Here is a 19,673-nt window from a genome sequence, read left to right as displayed (position 1 = left end):
CACCTTGGATGTTCTAGTATGGAATGAAGACCGTGGCCAGACCAGTGGGGCAGCCATAGAGCCTTGGCCGCGGCTTATTCTTCAGTTCATATTCTCTGGAACCTGAAAGCAAAGGTGTTGCTCCTAGAGAAGGTCTCAGCCAAACATGAGAAAGTGTGAGCAGTAACACCAGGGAGACCCATGGAAGGAGGATTGCATGCAGCTCCAGGCTGCCCTCAGGCTCATGGGCCCTGCAGCGGGCAACTGGGTCCTCACCCACCCACCAAGGCAGGGCCTAGTGCCTCATGGGCCAGCTCTCCCTGGAGGCCCCGGCTGGAAAAGAGGCTCCCACAGAGCTGCAGCTGCAGCAGTGGCGTCCAAGACCATGTTTGAAGATGAAATCATTAGAAACCCACATACGCTGGCACACCCTTCCTCCAGGGCTGTCTTGTCACTGTGTTTTAAGGCTATGTTATGTCCATACCAACAGTCTATCTTGGCAGGACATTTGAGGACAAGCATTCTGAAGACTCAGTCGACTGTGGAAAACTGCTCTCTTCCTCTGCACGCCTCCCGAGTCCTGCCTGTGATGGGTCTTAAGTGTTCCTCGACATCGTTTTCACAGTTGCCTCTCTCCCTCCTGCCACAGGGAGGACGCCTGATAGGTGCTGGCAGACTGGATCCAGGCCAGGTGTCTCTGCCAGGGACAGGGAGGAGTGGGGAAAGACAGCAGCAATGATGACTTTGATAGTGGGTGAAAATCAATCACAGGTGACCATCACATACACATCTCCTGAGTACCCCCATCCAGGAGGAGCTTCGCCCAAGGTCTCATGGCTAGTCAGCCCATCTGACTCCTAAGGCCACAGTCTGGTACCCTGCTGCCTGCTCCCTGGGGCCCGAGGGATTCAGATGCTAATGGGGACACAGGGGCCACTTGGTGTCTGTCCCTATCTCCCACAGAGTCTGAGTGATCAACCTTAATCTAACAAAAGGATTAGGTCCCTTTAGGAATATCCAAAATGGCCCAGACATTGTCCCATTTATGTAGGATAGCCTGGTCCCCTGCCCCTGGGAGCCATAGTTCTGGCTGCCACATCACAAAAGAGAAGGAAGAACCCGGGGAATGGCCAGAGAGGGGAAACTAAACAACCAAGGGTGGATGGGAGTGACCCCATCAGGAAAGAATGGAGAGATGAGGCAGGAAGGTATGGGTGGTGTTGGGGGAACGGAAGGAGGGAGGCGAGCACAGGTGGGGTGGGGTGGGGTCGGGGAGACCATAAGAGGGCCCTGTGCTAGGCACTCTCTCCCCTCCTTTCAAACTCTGCCTCACAAGCCTCCAGTACCCCTTCCACAGATTCAAAAACTGAGCCTCAATGGGATTAGGTAACTGTTCCAAGACCCCACAAAAATGATAAATGGAAGGAGCCAAAAAGTCAAAATTTGGTCTGATCATTAAGTCTCCTCTTTTGACCAGGCTCTACAGCCTAACAAAATCCCTCAAATACAGCAGTCTGTAGAAAGGACACAGCCACCTGGTCCCCACAGATGCCACTGATGCTCAGGTCAGAATCCTGTGCCAGTGATGCAGGAGGCATTTCTAGGGTTTCAGCAACAGGTGTTTCCAGTGGAGAAAGAAAAAGGGAAAAAAAAAAACAAAAAACTCAGAAGAGGACAGAGCATATGCAATAGGAATCTACCAAACAGAGTTGCTTCTGTAGCCAGATGCCTCCTTGGGTTACCTGGAACCTTTGCATGGCCAGTCAAGGAGGGAGGCCTTTGGAACCAGGCATAAAACATTTTCCTGGGAATGGGGAGTTTTGGCTGAGTCCCATGGACTGGGGTAACGGACAGAGAGCGCCTCAGCAAGGCACCCGTGCAGCTGTGCAGGACTCGCCAACAGGGTGCTCCAGAGCTCACCTGCTCCAAGAATTCACTTGGGGTTCAGAGTCCACAAGAGAGGCCTTTGTGCACAAGCACAGTTGCTCTGCCTTTTGCCTGTGTCTTCTCTCCCCATGTTGAGCTGAGAGGTGTAGGGCATCATCTCTGGGGCTTGAGGGCTGCAGGGTTGAGTTTCTGACACCTGACTGAAGCACCTGAAGGCAGAAACTGGCGAGCTCAGGGTTCACAGGGCTGTGGTGGGCTGTACAGGCCAGGACATGGGGCCGTAGGGGATGTAAGGCCAGGATGCTGCGAGCTGCCCGAGGTCCAGGCATGGATTCAGGGAGGAGGCCCCAAGCGGGCTGGCTTCAGGACTCATCTATGGTGGGGACCACACAGAAGACCAGCCCCTGAGGCCAGGGCTGAGGGTGGACACGAGTAGTCAGTGAGAGGAGCCACCACTGCAGCCCAGGGACCTAAGGACACAGCCCCTCAACTGGCAGAGAGCTCTGAAGACCCAAAAAAAGCACTTCCTCAGACAGCAGGTCAGCACTGGGACCTCCAGCGAGCCCAGCGGGCCCTGAAGGAAGACAGCAAGAAAGACTTTGCCACCCTCCTGCCCCTCCTCCCTGCCTGTGCCGGCCCCACAGGGGACACAGACAGCAGCCAGAGAAGGGGAGGAGGCAAAAGGTGAAACAGAGAAGCCAGCTGGAAGCTAACCCAGTCTTTCAGGAGGCTCAAGCTTGGGGCTGATAGCCCCCTGCACAGGAAAGTAACCAGAAGAACCACACAAAATTTCCAGGGTGCCACCCGGGAATAGGAAAGAGCAAGTCAAGGGAGAGTTTGCAGGCATGATGGCGAGAAGAACTAAGGTGGCTTTATTCATCCCAGCCTGGGTTTCCCAGAACCTGTTCCCCACGGATGAGGGTAAAGGGTGCAGTGCGGGCCCTGCATCCTGCTCTGGGAGCCCCTGGTATGGAGACAGATGGGGCAGCCCCTGTACTATTGGTCCTTGACACAGATGATGGCCTGGAGTCATTTTAAACTTGTTACTTTCCCAGAAAGCAACTATGTCACGTATCTGAAGAGGTCAGCAGGGACCAGAGACCAGGTGTGGGTGTGAGCTAGACCTGCTTCCTCTCACTGTGCCTCCCAGGAGGACTCACAGTGGCCAGGCCCCGGCCACGTGGAAGAACCAGGCCTTCCCTAGGGCTTGGGGAGGGATTAGTGAGGTCAGATGGGAATGTGAACAGTGTCATCTACTGAGCCCATGTTATGTGTCAGGCAGGCCTATGAGCTGTCATTATCATCACCAATCACAGAGAAGGAGGCTGAGATTCAGAGAATTAGATAATGTATTAGGGTTCTCCAGAGAAACAGAACCAATAAAAGACATACATATAAAGAGATCTAATGTAGGTATTGGCTCACGTGATTATGGTGTCTGAGAATTCCCACGATCTGGCATGTGCCAGCTGGAGACCCAGGAAAGCCAGTGGTGTAACACGAAGGCCCAAGAGCTGGAGAACTGATGGTGTGGATCCAGTCTGAATCTGAAGGCCTGAGAACCAGGAGTGCTGAGGGCAGAAAGTCCATGTCCCAGCTCAAACAGGTTTGGTTATTCCGCCCTCCGCCACTGTTTTGTTCCCATCATGAATAGATCAGATGAGCCCCACCCATATTGGTGAAAGCCCTCTGCTTTCTGCTCTCCAGCAATTCAAATGCTAATCTCACCCAAAATGCCCTCACAGACACATGCAGAAATAACGTTTAACCAGCTATCTAACCATCACAGGTTAGCTTCCAATGTCCCACAGCCTGAAAGACACAAAGCCAGAACCTGAACTTAGAACTGACCAAAGAAACCTAAGCCCACACTCTTGACAAATGCAGACCAGGCATGAGGAGTAGGAATCAACAACTTATCTTGACTATGGTGAAAATAATCATTTTTGTTCTTTAAACTTTTAAAAGAACTACTTATTTGTTTTCTGTTTGATGAGAAGGGCTAAGTGGAAGCTGAGAGGCCAGTCCGACAGACAAAGAGGAGAAGAGAGCAGAGCAAGAGGGACCGTTTGGGGGACCCTCTGGCAGCCCCCGGGGGCATCTTCTGTCTAGGTCCTTACTTTTCTCACATGCTAACCTCTCTGCTTTCTCTTTGTAGTTGAGTTTCTGAAATTTCACTGACAATGTGTTTGCTGCATTTCTTTTTATTAGCTTTTTTCGGAAGTAGCTAGAATCCCAAGTGATTTCCTAGCACACAGTCTGAGAGTTGTCAATTTCAGTCAGTCTTTTGAGGAAAAGCAAGAGGCATTTTATTCCTGGGAGATGCCCACACCACAGCCTGGTGCTCCCGGGCCATGGGCTGGCCTTGTGAAGGAAAGGAGGCATTCTTATGTGTATTCCTGAAGGTGCCATGACTTCCACCAGCAGACCAAGCAGAAAGAGCATCTGCTAACGTAAGGTGTCCTCACTTTGCAGATGTGGGACCCGGCTCAAATTTTTAAAGACATTTCTAATTGAAAATAAGACCAAAGTTGACTATCTAGGGATGGTTCTCAAGTAGGAGCCTTCTCTGATCTTCCTGTCTAAAGAATCCACCTTTTATCACTCTACTGAGAGTTTTTTATTATTTTATTATTTATTTAAATATGTTTAGGGGATACAAGTGCAGGTTTCTTACATGCAAATATTGCATTGTGGTAAAGTCTGGGATTTTAGCGTACCCATTACCCAAGTAGTGAACATTGTAATTTTTCAGTCCTCACCCCCGCGAACCCTCCGGCCTGTCATAGCTTCCAGTGTCTGTTATTCCATTCTGCCTGTCCATATGTACGCGTTGTTTAGCCCCCAGCTATAAGTGAGAACATGCAGTATTTGACTTTCTGTTTCTGAGTTATATCACTGAGGATAATCGCTTCCATATCCATCCATGTTGCTGCAAAAGACAGGATTCCATTCTTTTTTATGGCTGAGTCATATTCCATGGTATATATATACATTTTCTTTATCTAATCCTACGTTGATGGACACTTAGGTGGTTTCTATCTTTTTGCCATTGTGAATAGTGTTAGAGTAAACATGCAGGTATCTTTTTGATAGAATGATTCATTTCCCTTTGGGTATATACCTAGTAGTGGGATTGCTGGATTGAGTGGTAGTTCTATTTTTAGTTCTTTGAGAAATCTCCACACTGTTTTCCATAAAGGTTGTATGAATTTACATTCCTACCAACAGCATGTGTTCCCTTTTCATTATATCCTCACCAACATCTATTTTTGTTTTTGTTACATTTGCTTTTGAAGACTTGGTCATAAATTATTTGCATAGGCCAATGTCCAAAAGAGTTTTACATAGGTTTCCTTGTAGAATGTTTATAGTTTCAGGTCTTACATTTAGGTCTTTAATCCATTTTGAGTTAATTTTTATATATGGTGAGAAGTGTGGGTCCAATCTCATTCTTCTGCATATCGCTATGCAATTTTCCCAACACTAAATAGTGAATGACGCAAAATGAATAGTGTCATTTCCCCAGTGTATATTTTTGTTGGTGTTGTTGAAGATCAGTTGGTTATAAGTATGTGGCTTCATTTATAGGTTATGTATTCTGTTCCATTGATCTATGTGTCTGTTTTTGTACCAATACCATACTGTTTTGTTTACTATAACCTTGTAGTACAATTTGAAATTAGATGATGTTATCCTTCAGCTTTGTTCTTTTTGCTTAGGATTCCGTTGGCTAGACAGGCTCCTTTTTAGTTCCATATGAAATTTATTGTTTTTTATAATCCTGTGAAAAATGACATTGGTAACTTGATAGGGATTGTATTGAATCTGTAGATTACTGTAGCAATATAGTCATTTTAATGATGTTGATTCTTGGAATCCATGAGCATGGGATGTTTTTCCATTCATTTGTGTCATTGACAATTTTTTTCTTCAGCATTTTGTAGTCCTCCTTATAGAGATCTTTCACATCCCTGGTTAAATATATTCCTCGATATTTTTGTAGCTAATTTAAATGGGATTGCCTTCTTGATTTAGTCCTCAGCTAGATTGTTACTGGTATATAGAAATGCTACTGCTTTCATTATGTTAATGTTGTATCCTGAAACTTTACTAAATTTGTGTATCAAATATAACAGGTTTTTGGTAGAGTCTTTATGGTTTTCTAATTATAAAATCATATCACTAGCAAACAGGGATGATCTGACTCCTTCTTTTCCAATTTGGATGCCTTTTGTTTTTTTCTCTTGCCTGACTGCGCTGTGGGTACTTCCAGTACTATGTTGAATAACAGTGGTAAAAGTGGGCATCCTCATCTTGTTCCAGTCCTTAGAGGAAAAGCTTTCAACTTTTCCCCATTAAGTATGCTGTTAGCTGTGGGTTTGTCATAGAAGACCTTTATTATGTTGAGGTATGTTCTTTCTATGCCTAGTTTGTTGAGGATTTTCATCATGAAGTGATGCTGAATTGTATTGAATGCAGAAATCCTTGACAAAATACTAGCAAATCAAATCTAACAGGACATCGAAAAGATAATACACCATAATCAGGTGGGATTTATCCCAGGAATGCAAGGATGATTCAACATACACAAATCAATGAATGTGATATATCACGTAAACAGAATTAAGAACAAAAACCATATGATCATCTTGATAGATGCAGAAAAATAACTGATAATTTCTTATTTGATCATGTGTTAGTATCTCTCCCTACCTAAACCTGCATTCATGGGCACACATGGGCAAGTGTGAGTGCGCGTGCGTGCACACACACACACACACACACACAGCACAGTGCTAGACCTGTAGTGGATAATCAGTAACTATTTGTCACATGACTGACCTCAGCTTATTGATCCTAAGCAATAAGTCTTGTTCCTCAAGCCACACTGGCCACTGCTAGAAGGTCTTTCAGAGCCTAAGATCCATTCAGTCCCTTCGAAGCACTGGGAGGCCCCCGTCCTTCCATCTCAGCTTCCCAGGCCATAGCTCTTAGCAGAGTCCCTGCTAGCCTGTACTGTGCCTTTGGAGAGTCTTTTGTAAAAGGTGCCTGTCTGGGCAGGCACAGTCCTTGACCAGGGGCAAAGGCCCACAGCAGGACATAGGCTGGGTTCAGCCCCTTGAGCCTCCTCAGACTGGCTCTGCTGTGCAGGGCCCTACCTGAGAGAGGGGTTGAGGCACACCTCTCAGAAATGCTGCCCATGAGATCTGTGCATGAGGAGAACCTTGCACCTGTGAAAAGGAGTAAGGACCATCCCCACCTACTGTGCTGTGGGTGTCTCAGGATGCATCAGGAGGAGGAAAAGGCAGTGGTTGGACTAGTGAGTATAAACATGCTACCTAGAGGTGGGAGGATGTGTGCATACAGTTTATGCGCATTTACTCACATTCATACGTGTGTGCACACAGATGTGCACTTACTTTTTTTTTTTAATCAGATGGAGTCTCGCTCTGTCACCCAGGCTAGAATGCAGTGGTGCGATCTCGGCTCACTGCAACCTCCACCTCCTGGGTTCAAGCGATGATCCTGCCTCAGCCTCCCGAGTAGCTGGGACTACAGGCACAAGCCACCAATGCCTGGCTAATTTTTGTATTTTTAGTAGAGACAGGGTTTCACCATGTTGGCCAGGATGGTCTCGATCTCCTGACCTCATGATCCACCCGCCTCGGCCTCCCAAAGTGCTGGGATTACAGGTGTGAACCACCACACCTGGCCTTGCACTTACTTTTTTTATGGAAGGGTACACCAAAAACCAACACCTATGTCCCCATAGGTGAGGTGACTACAATTTATCATCCAAACTGGTTCATTTGGGGGAAGGAAAGTGGGCACTAACCACTTGGGATGTGTGAACAGGACTTTCCCAAGCAAAACAGGAGGTGTGGACACCCCATCTGGAGGAGGGGATATGGGGAGGGACCTGGGAGGCTTCATCCAGGCTCTCCGTCTGGGTGGCTGGGTGACTGCCCTTTAACAAGACCTGCCGGCCCCAGACTGGCTTCCTTATCTATGACACGCGCTCTTGCCGAGGATGGTCTCCAAGGATGGTGGCTACAGCTTAAGCCAGGGTGCCCCCAAACTGTTCCCTGGGGCCTGAGATACCATCTGGACCTTGCTCCATGACCTTTGCTTCTTGGTCCTGCCAGGAGGGACTCCTCAGCCTCTGCCCACCCCCATCTTTCTCAGGGTGTTTTCATTGGGTAGACGGTATATCCCTAACCCTGGAAATTCTCCCTCCTCAAGTACCCACTGGAGAAGCAGATGTAGGTGCCCTGGAGAACTCAGTGTGTGGGGCCCAAAGCATGTTAGGAAGTTCTCAGGACATGCACATCTTGGAGGATGAAGTCATTATATTGCATGTCAGTCTTCTTTGCAGTAAGCACTGATTTTTAAGCATTTTAGGAATTGTTATGTCTTTGCCCAGTGGCCAGATTCTCCCCACAATCCCAGATCTCGCATTTGCTCAGCAAACTCACAAGAAGAAGACATGAAGTCTCAGGGCTAAAAGTGGGAGTGAATTTTCAGAATTGGTTTTTCTGAAACTGATTTCTACCAATGGGCTCTGGTCACAGAGTGCAGGTCACAGTTCCAAACTCTCGTCCCAGATAAGATCTTGTTTGCCCTTCATTTTAGAGCCCCCAGCTAAATTGGAGTTCCAGTACCAGAGCAGCTAGAAAACCTGCAATAAGGAGAAATGAAAAGGGACCTGGACATAGGCGTTTACAGTGTGCCTTTCATGGGATACTTCTCTTACCTGGCAGGTGTCCTAATGCCTGGTTGCCTAACCCATGACCCATGTCCCTCACATGGGAAGCTTGTTTGTACTGGCAGATGGCTTTGTGGCTCCTGTCTGGCCTGTGTCTAGTTTTTTCTTACCTGACCATCGCTCTGTGGCTGGGACCAGCCTTGTGTTCTCCTTGGCGTCTGGTGAAAACATGGCCTGGGGTAGCCTCTGCTTCTTCCAAAGGAAGGTGCAAATTCAATCCACCGCCACAATGGGAAGCAAGTTCAAAGGTTTTTACTTATAGATCCTGGGCATGGAGGCCATCATGAGTTGGGAGGGCAGTGCTCCATCCCAGGGTCACATTGAGGCAGGGATTAAGATTCAGGCAGAGAGATCCAACTAGAAATATATATAGGGGAATAGGATGTGGGTCACTTTAAGTTCATGGGCAAATGTCTGAATGGTCCATTTAAAGGAAGTGGTGGGAAAGTGGAAAGCCCAGTCTGCTAGGCAGAGAGTCGCCTCTAAGTTCTTATCTCTGGCCACCAGCTTGGGTCTTTGGGTGTGGTGTTCTACTTCTAATGCCCAGGCAGCAACCTCTGCTGTTTTGTTTCTGTTACACCCTCTACACCCTCAGGTGCTCTCTGGCTGCCTTCAACACTGAGGCTCCTGGTATAGAACCAGGACCCTCCCTAAGTCTTGGACAAGGAGCCAGAAGCAAGTAGGGAACATCATTATGATTTTCAGGCTGCCCCCCGCTGGAGCTGGGATCCTCTCCGCCACCCCCTGGGTCACTGAGCAGGTTTCAGTTGCTCACATGGCTCCCATGCTCAACACCAAAACTGGAATGGAGAAAGGCTGCTCTGCTCCAGCTGTCCTCCATCACCTCTCAACTGGGCCCGCCATCCTATCATTGCTGCTGAAATAAAATGGCCCTGCCTTAAGTTAGCCATGAAAAGAATGCCATGCCAGTACAATGGTGCCTAATACTTAACCTTTGCACCGTTGTTACCTTGGAGGCCCTCTTGCATAGCTACTCAAATACCAGAGTGTTCTGCCAGGAGGCTCCATGCTGGGCATGGTCCAACTCCATGCCTTTGCCCTAGCACAGAACTTGAAGGACGGGTAGATGAATGGACAGACAAGTAGGTGCTTGGGCAGATAGATGGTTGAATGGAAGAATTGAAGGATGAGTACATGGATGGATGCGTGCGTAGGTGGGTGGGTGGATGGATGGATGGATGGATGGATAGAGGTACATGTGGGTGGATGGACAGGTGGATGGGTGGGTGGGTGGACAGGTGTATGGGTGGGTGGATGGCATGGATGGATGAATGGATGGACAGATGGATGGATGGATGGATAGATGGACATGTGGGTGGATGGACAGGTGGATGGGTGGTTGGGTGGACAGTTGTGTGGGTGGGTGGGTGGATGGCATGAATGGATGGACAGATGGATGCACAGACAGCAGATGGATGGATGGATGGATGGACAAGTGGATGGGTGGATCAATAGATGGATGGATGAAGAGAGAGAGGGAGGGAAGGAAGAGAGATGGGTGGGTGGGTGGGTAGATGGATAGATGGATGAATGGATGGATAGATAGATAGGAAGAAGGATGGATAGGTTGGTAGATGTTACATGAAGGCAGAGTTCTCTGAGGGCCTCTGCAGTGCCTTTCACAGCACCAGTGTATAGTAAGTGCTCAATGAATATTTATTGGTTTTTTGGTTGGAAATATGATGGCCCTGCTTTAAGTTTTGCATGAGGAGAATGCTGTGCCAGTACAAAGGTGCCCAATACTGAGCCTTCACGCTGTTGTTACCATGGGGGTCCTCCTGTGTAGCTGCTCAGATCCCAGAGTGTTCTGCCAGGAAGTGAAGATGGGACTCAGAACCCAGGCCTGAGAGGGCTACCATTCACCTTGCTCTGCCCGCTTCTCAGTATTAGTACCTGACTCAAGAGCAGCTCCTCTCTTTCCAGCACTGCCCCCTCCATTCCTTGAATTAGGGAAGGAACAGTGCTCCACATTTCTAGCTGGGGTATTTCTCTCTCCAAGTATGCAGGTTTTAACTCCATATTCTCTCCCCCTGTGCTGTTCATTATGTTGTTCAACCATTCACTCGCCGGCACTCAACGCATACTAGGTGACAGGGACAAACAAGCAACTTCCAAAAGCACTTGACCCCCCAGGCACTGCAGCTTGGCTTTCAGGTGTGGCTGGGCAGGCTAATCACCTGCAGTGTTTCAAAATGCACACCCAGGAGCACTGCATTTAGACCTGGCATAAAATATATGTGTGTGTATGTGTGAATATGTATTCATGTCAATACATATTTAAAACATTCCTCTTCTACTTCCCTTTCCTTCCTTGCTGAAAAAGTAAGTTCTAAAGCCATTAGGTGGGGCAAAGCAAGGTGGCATCTGGAGTGGGTGGGGGATGGGAGGACACCAGGGGCCAGAGCCAGATGTCAGCCACACAGGTGAAGAGGGCCACCTCACGGATGGGGAGCAGAGGTGGGAGATGGCTGACATATGGGAAGACTGATCAAATAAGGAAATGCTTTAGAATGAATACGAACAAGTTTTCTGAAAGTAAGTGAAGAAAGTTGCAAATAGAATTAACTTTGTGGGGTTGGATTGGAATTGGAGGTATCAGTGAACTCAAGGTTTTCTATAAATATTGAGAGGGAGAGAAAGATGAAAATAAACATGGAGAGGGAGAGAAAGATGAAAATAAACATGCAAAAATATGTATCCATGTGTGAGTGTGAACTTGAACCATCTTTTTGCACCAGGAAGCAAGAAAGTGCTCTAAGAAATGATGGGAGCTGGGCACGGTGGCTCACACCTGTAATCCCAGCACTTTGGGAGGCTGAGACAGAAGGATGACTTGTGCCCAGAAGTTCGAGACCAGCCTTGGCAACATAGCGAGACCCCGTCTCTACAAAAATGAAAAAAGTTTTCTGGGCATAATGGTGGCCTGTGGTCCCAGCTACTTGGGAGGTCAGAATGGGAGGCTCACTTGACCCCAGGAGTTCGAGGCTGCAGTGAGCTATGATCTCACCACTGCACTCCAGCCTGGGCAACACAGTAAGACCCTGTCTCAAAAAAAAAAAAAAGAAAGAAAGAAAGAAAGAAAAGAAAAAAAGAAATGATGAGGATGTCAAAAGGACACAGATCCAGCTTTAGAGAAGCCACACTGACCACATCAAGGAGTATCTGAGCATCCACATAATCACACTAATGGATTATAACCCACTGAATAAAATGGAAAACCAGAAATCCATAGTGATACCAATAAACCTATAAAGATTTGGTGAGGAATGGAGTATTTGCATAGGTTCAAGTTCCTCTCCACAAAATGCTTGTTAATTTCAAACGAAAAATTAGTAGTCTGCAGGGGCAAGGCCTGGAAGATGACCTTAAGGAGTGGTCCAGGTCAACCTCACCAGTGATGGGACAACCTCACCAGTGATGGGACAATCTGCAGTTCACACAACCTGATAAGATGTCACAAGAAGGACTCAGCTTGACCCAATCCAATCTAACTGTGAGGAAACAGAGAAACCCTTATGAAGGACATTCTACAAAATACCCAACCTGTAATCTTCAAAAATGTCAAGGTCATGGAAGTCAAGGATATCCTGAGAAATGTTCCAGGTGAAGGAGACTAAGGAGACGCCACCGCTGAATGCAGCACCTGATCCTGAGCAGGAACCTTTGTTCTAAAAGGCATTATTGGGACAGCTGGCACACACACGTGGGGTCTGGTGATTGCATGTAACTGTGTGAATTCCTGATGTCGGTAGCCGTGTGGTGGTTGTGTAGGAGGATGTTCTGTTCATAGAAAATGAGCAAGAACTTTCCAGGGTGATGGGGTGCCAGGTTGGCTGTTTATTTTCAAATGGTTCAGGGAAACAAAAGCTCTTTTTACTGTATGTGCGCAACTATTTTGTGAGGTTTCGATTGCTGCCAATTTTTTGAACTGTTAAAATAAGGTTAATTGGGTTGGATGTGGTGGCTCATGCCTGTAATCCCAGCACTTTGGGAGGCCAAGGCTGGTGGATCACTTGAGGCCAGGAGTTCGAGACCAGCCTGGCCAACATGGTGAAAACCCGTCTCCACTAAAAATACAAAAAAATTAGCTGGGCATGGTGGCAAATGCCTGTAATCCCAGCTACTTGGGAGGCTGAGGCTTGTAAAAAGTAAAATAGAGGTTCTTCTTTAAAGACTTTCCTCCCCATCTAGTTAAAAATAAATAGTAACTTCTTTTAGAAGCAAAATTTATTCAAAGACCTGTGCTAACATTCTTAAATATCTGCTAGCCATAATAAAAAAATCAACATACTTTATATTCTTAGCTCCCACAATTTAACCTAAATATTTGCCTTGCATACTTATACTAGTCCAAGCAAGCACTAAGTCATAGTCTGGTCCTCTTCCTTCTTTAAAAGCATTTTTACCTTTCTCAACATTCCACAAGTTACTTCCTCCTTCCTTTATTCTCCTCTGCATTTGCCTCTTTTAAAAAATTCTAAGTTACTAACCAATCAAAACAAATACAAAATGTAAAATCCCGTTCCAGCCAATAAAAACCAGACACATCAGTAAGGTGGACACGTCAGGTTATAAATGACCCTGTCTCCTTTATTCAATATACTCTCATAACAAAACTGCTGGCAAGTACACCCTTTCTACAGAAAATAAAAAATGGCCTCGCTAAAAAAAATTAAATTTATATTCAAGTAATATTGCTTTACGACACCAGGAAACAAACATTTCAAACAATTTTGGTGACCCGTATGGGGATACATTCTCTGCCGGGGGTGGTCTCCAGTCCCTCCTCATAAGGGAGCGTGCTCCTCTGCCACATTGCAGTGGCCTCAAGGATAAGAGCTCAAAACCCACCCGGTATGTGGAATAAACTCAGAGTCTCAGCAATGCAAAAAAAAAACAATTCCTCACATATCACGTGAACCAGAAAACTGTGCACAGATTGAGGAAAAAACACCAGGAAAAAACACCGGTAAAGTATTTCCTTAGTAATCAAGACTGAGGAAAAAGCTGCGGGGCAGTAAAGCATTCCTTAGTTAAAACATACCAAGGAGAGAGAAACTGCAGGGGCAGTAAAACATTCCTTAGGACTAGACACAAAAAGCCATGGGAGGTGGTAAAATATTTCTTAGCCAGGATGTCTTAAAGGTTAAAAAAAGGTAAAAAAAATCCCCACTGAGTGGGGGTTAAACCTCAAAAAGAGGTGAGAAATCCCCATGGGCGGGGGGGTTAAGCCTCAAGGTAAAAAATCCCCATTGTCGGGGGTTAAACCTCAAAAAGAGGTGAGAAATCCCCATGGGGGAGGAGTTGAACCTCACACAAACCTCCGATAGTAAAATATATATACATATATATGTATGTTACATATAGATATACATATATATGTGTGTTACATATAGATATACATATATATGTGTGTTACATATAGATATACATATATGTGTGTGTTACATATAGATATACATATATGTGTGTGTTACATATAGATATACATATATGTGTGTGTTACATATAGATATACATATATGTGTGTGTTACATATAGATATACATATATGTGTGTGTTACATATAGATATACATATATGTGTGTGTTACATATAGATATACATATATGTGTGTGTTACATATAGATATACATATATGTGTGTGTTACATATAGATATACATATATGTGTGTGTTACATATAGATATACATATATGTGTGTGTTACATATAGATATACATATATATGTGTTACATATAGATATACATATATATGTGTGTTACATATAGATATACATATATATGTGTGTTACATATAGATATACATATATATGTGTGTTACATATAGATATACATATGTATGTGTGTTACATATAGATATACATATGTATGTGTGTTACATATAGATATACATATGTATGTGTGTTACATATAGATATACATATGTGTGTTACATATAGATATACATATGTATGTTACATATAGATATACATATGTATGTTACATATAGATATACATATGTATGTTACATATAGATATACATATGTATGTTACATATAGATATACATATATATGTATGTTACATATAGATATACATGTATGTTACATATAGATATACATGTATGTTACATATAGATATACATATGTTACATATAGATATACATATGTTACATATAGATATACATATATGTTACATATAGATATACATATATGTTACATATAGATATACATATATGTTACATATAGATATACATATATGTTACATATAGATATACATATATGTTACATATAGATATACATATGTATGTTACATATAGATATACATATGTATGTTACATATAGATATACATATGTATGTTACATATAGATATACATATGTATGTTACATATAGATATACATATGTATGTTACATATAGATATACATATGTATGTTACATATAGATATACATATGTATGTTACATATAGATATACATATGTATGTTACATATAGATATACATATGTATGTTACATATAGATATACATATGTATGTTACATATAGATATACATATGTATGTTACATATAGATATACATATGTATGTTACATATAGATATACATATGTATGTTACATATAGATATACATATATATGTATGTTACATATAGATATACATACATATATATATTCAAAACTCCCCTTTCCCCTCTTCTTGGGGGAAAAAAAAAAGACTAAGCTCCACTCCTGCCAGTCGCTCCTCTAGGGGAAGGGGAAAAAAAAAAGCAAAAACACCAAGCATGACGCCAGACAGCCAGGCACACCAAAAATTAAGTCCCTCTCCCCACCCGAGCTCTGTGTGAAAAAGAGAGCGGGGACTGTCGCAGAAAGAAAAGCCAACAAGATGAAAGGACCTAACTCTTACGACTAACGACAGGTGTCTGCCAAGCCTGTGGGCCAGTGATGGCCCTGGGCCAGGACTGCAGCCGGCCGGGGGCCAAGACTACAGCCATGCAAATCCCACCCAGCCCAGAAAACTAAGTGTAGAAAAAATAAATAAATCAGGGAAAAAAAAAAAAAACAGGGGAAACAGACGGCAGCGCATACATGCAGGCGGGGCCCGTCCCTTGCCCAGCCTGCGCCGCAAGACCGGGAAAAAAAAAGGAAACAAAAAATGACAGAGAGGGAGAGAAAAATAAATGCAAATTAAAAAAAAAGGAAAATAAAGTGCAAATAAGAAAAAAAAATAGAAAAAAGTAAAAAAATAACTAGAAAAGACAAAAATCAAAGAAAGACACGGTAAAATTAGGAAAAGAAATAATGTAAAAGGCAGAACGTTAAAACATGTTAAAAATTGTCTATAAAAGTCATAAAAAGTTATAAAAAAAATTTATGCAAAAAATATTACGTAATTTAAAAGTAATTAGGCCTCCTAAATGTAAAACTATTTAAAAAACAGTTTATACAGTTTATATACAAAATATGTAAAAATATATACTTTTAATAAAATTACAAAAAGACATAAAAATATGAATTTTTACCTACATTAAAAGGTTAAAAAAATTTTGTTTTAAAACTTTAAACAAGGCTGGGCGTGGTGGCTCATGCCTATAATTTCAGCACTTTGGGAGGCCAAGGCAGGCGGTCACGAGGTCAGGAGATCAAGACCATCCTGGCTAACATGGTGAAACCCCATCTCTACTAAAAATACAAAAAAAATAGCCGGGCATGGAGGCAGGCACCTGTAGTCCCAGCTACTCGGGAGGCTGAGGCAAAAGAATGGCGTGAACCCAGGAGGTGGAATTTGCGGTGAGCTGAGATCGCACCACTGCACTCCAGCCTGGGCAACAGAGCAAGACTCCGTCTCCAAAAAAAAAAGTTTAAACAAATTTAAAAATATTAATTATAAAGAAAATTCTGTATGTAAACATATTAGCTAAAGAGGTATCCAATTTTTCTGTAAACTAAACATTAAAATAAAAGCACAATAAATTTTTCTTAAAGCACTAACCTGCTCTTTAAGAAAAATTATAAAAAGTTTTAAAAAGTCTATAAAAACCTTACCTTATAGTCAGACATTAAAAGTAAATAATGTCTTCAAAATTTTATTAAAATAAAGTTTAACATTAATAGCACATTAATGTTAAAAAACATAAAATCATACAAAAAGCATTATCAAATATAAAATAGTGCTTAACTTTCTCAAAGCCCGAGGGCGGCCGAATAAGTCACAAGGCCCCTCATCCCCAAGGCCACAACGCGCAGGGGCGGTGAAGGCCACAAAAAAGCCAAGACCTTAAGAGGGGGCAGGGCCACAATGTCCCCTAGGCAACGCTAAGCAGAAATGGAGCAGAAGACGTCACCATGGGGCCTCAAGCCCCAGAATACGCAACAAAAATTATATACGTAATTTATCTTCCACTTTCCCTTTCCTCAAAACTAAAAATCTTTTAACACAGGTACCAACCCTAAAATTTCTAGTACATCAGCACCAGCCTACAAACCACATTCTTGCCTGGCGCAGTGCCTCACGCCTGTAATCCCAGCACTTTGAGAGGCTGAGGCAGGCGGATCATGAGGTCAGGAGATCAAGACCATCCTGGCTAACACAGTGAAACCCCGTCTCTACTAAAAATACAAAAAGAAATTAGCCGAGCGTGGTGGCGGGCGCCTGTAGTCCCAGCTACTGGGGAGGCTGAGGCGGGAGAATGGTGTGAACCCAGGAGGCGGAGCTTGCAGTGAGCGGAGATCGGCGCCACTGCACTCCAGCCTGGGTGACAGAGCAAGACTCCGTCTCAAAACAAAACAAAAACACATCCTTATCAAAAAATAAAAAACTCAAGCCAGCCTGGGAAGGACCCTATTTTATGCTGTTAACCACTAAGACCCCTGTCCACACAGCCAAGAAAAAAAGGACCCACTATACTCAAATCAAGAAAACATCTTAGGTTACTATACTAAAATCAAGCCCTACTAAGTTAAAATTTTAAAAAGCTTAATTTTCATATACTTTCTCTATTACTTCCTTTCCTTTCCTTATTCTGTTATAGCTCCCTTGTTATTAATGTAACTAAATCTAACTCACCTCAAACCATTGCCTTTAATGCTTGCTCTATCATACCTTGTAAAAATATTAAAAAATCAATGACAGCTAGCCTTTTCACACAAATATTTATGTCCTGGCCCTCTAATTAACACAATTACCCCTAACACTTATTGTTATAATCACCTGCAGCCAAAACGCCAATTTTCTGCTCCTACTGAGAGGTGAAGCCAGCTGGACTTCCTGGGTTGAGTGGGGACTTGGAGAACTTTTCTGTCTTACAAGAGGATTGTAAAATGCACCAATCAGCACTCTGTAGCTAGGACTGTAAAACACACCAATCAGTGCTCTGTAAAACGCACCAATCAGCAGAATCCTAAAAGTAGCCAGTGACAGGGAAGATTGAAAAAAGGACATTCTGATAGGACAGAAATGGAACATGGGAGGGGCCAATAAGGGAATAAAAGCTTGCCACCCCCGCCCCCCAGCCAGCAGCGGCAGCAACCTGCTCGGGTCCTGTTCCATGGTTTAGAACCTTTGTTCTTTCTCTCTCCACAATAAATCTTGCTGCTGCTCACTCTTTGGGTCCGTGCCACACTTAAGAGGTGTAACACGCGACTTCATTCTTGAAGTCAGTGAGACCACAAAGCCACTGGAAGGAACCAACTCCGGATACACTACAGCCTAACAACCTTATAATAAATGGAACGACGTCCTTTAAATTACTCAAGAGCAAAGTTAAACTTCCACACACACACAAAAAAAACATACAGATCTAAAACCCTTCATCTATTTCATTAAAAAACCTACCCAACCTTCTCAATATAACCCTGTCCTTCTGTCACCACCTCCACCTTAACTAACTCTAAACCTACCCTTAATCACTTCTATAATATAGAAATTTGACATAAATTTTTAAAAACCCTAAATATTTTTAAAATACACATTATTCCCCCATCTTCCCCTTCTTCAGTAGCCTAAGTTCTAAATCCGACACCAGTTACTCCTGCATCTAATAAAAGTAGAATGCCTATTATAAAAATAAAAAATTAAAGACAGACCTTAGCCATCAAAACAATACATCAAAATACAAATGCCTAGCTAAAATATTCCATTCACACTTTAAAAACAATTATTACACTATTACATTTGTACACATGGTACTCCAGAGGCCCAAATTATCCCCTTTCCACTTAAATGGTCACCTCATCAACCAAATATAAACTATATAGTAGCTCTTTTTCAAAATCCCACTGCTTAAAATAATCCATCATGCCAAGCTCTCTCTGCTATTTCCTAAAATTTAACACTGTGCGGGTCAGCCCCTGAGGACAATCCAGCTTGCACCTTTTCTAAATGCCAAACTTACACTGTGCCTCTCATGGCAAGAAAAAAATTTAATATTCCTTAAAAGCATTTAAAAAATGCTTTTTCCAAAAGCTCGCCCATCAATCCATGCTTAGCCATCCCCAAGCAAATATATGGTAGTACTGTAAAGGACCTTTACTAAACGCTGTGCCAAATATTTGAAACAGTACTAATCCAGTTAGCTGTCCTTCACTCTAGCATTTCATCAATCTAAAAAAATAAAAACAAAACACCGCAGGCCAAAAAAAATTCCTTGTAAGTCCTTTAATCCTCAAGTTTATATAAATGCTATTAAAATCCTGTAAAAAAAATTTCAAATAAATTTAAAATACAAAATCAAATAGCTGCAAAATTTAAGTCCACGTTATTCTGGTAAGTATGAATTTAAAAAATGTAAACTAAACTGTATCTGTTACAATCAGCAACAATTCATAAATTACACTGAAAACGCCATCAAAAAAATAGCTAAGCAATTAGGACCTACCAGACAAATTGCCTTAAAAAAAGCTTTAAATATAATATCAGCAAAAAAAAAAAGTCATAATTAAAACTCAATATTGTACCTTTATTCCTAATACTGCCCCTAACAAAACTATAACAAAAGCACTACAAAAATTAACAGCACTATCCAATAAACTTGCCAAAAATTC

The 19,673-nt window shown here is 43.1% G+C and overlaps 1 protein-coding gene and 1 long non-coding RNA gene across 4 annotated transcripts in view; one reads left to right on the top strand and one right to left on the bottom strand.

Annotated features, from left to right (window-relative positions):
• OTUD7A (OTU deubiquitinase 7A) overlaps positions 1-19,673 on the top strand; it is a 395,276-nt gene that overhangs the window by 344,898 nt on the left and 30,705 nt on the right. The gene's annotated exons all lie outside the window — the stretch shown is intronic.
• Positions 597-3,377, bottom strand: LOC105370753 (uncharacterized). Its single transcript, XR_932064.3, has 3 exons — positions 3,292-3,377; positions 1,900-2,075; positions 597-676 (listed from the first exon to the last, which is right to left on the bottom strand). It is a non-coding gene; the product is annotated as an uncharacterized LOC105370753 (long non-coding RNA).

Source organism: Homo sapiens, chromosome 15 (assembly GCF_000001405.40).
Source record: "Homo sapiens chromosome 15, GRCh38.p14 Primary Assembly".
Taxonomy (NCBI): Eukaryota; Metazoa; Chordata; class Mammalia; order Primates; family Hominidae; genus Homo; species Homo sapiens.
This window is presented reverse-complemented; position numbering and strand designations above follow the sequence as displayed.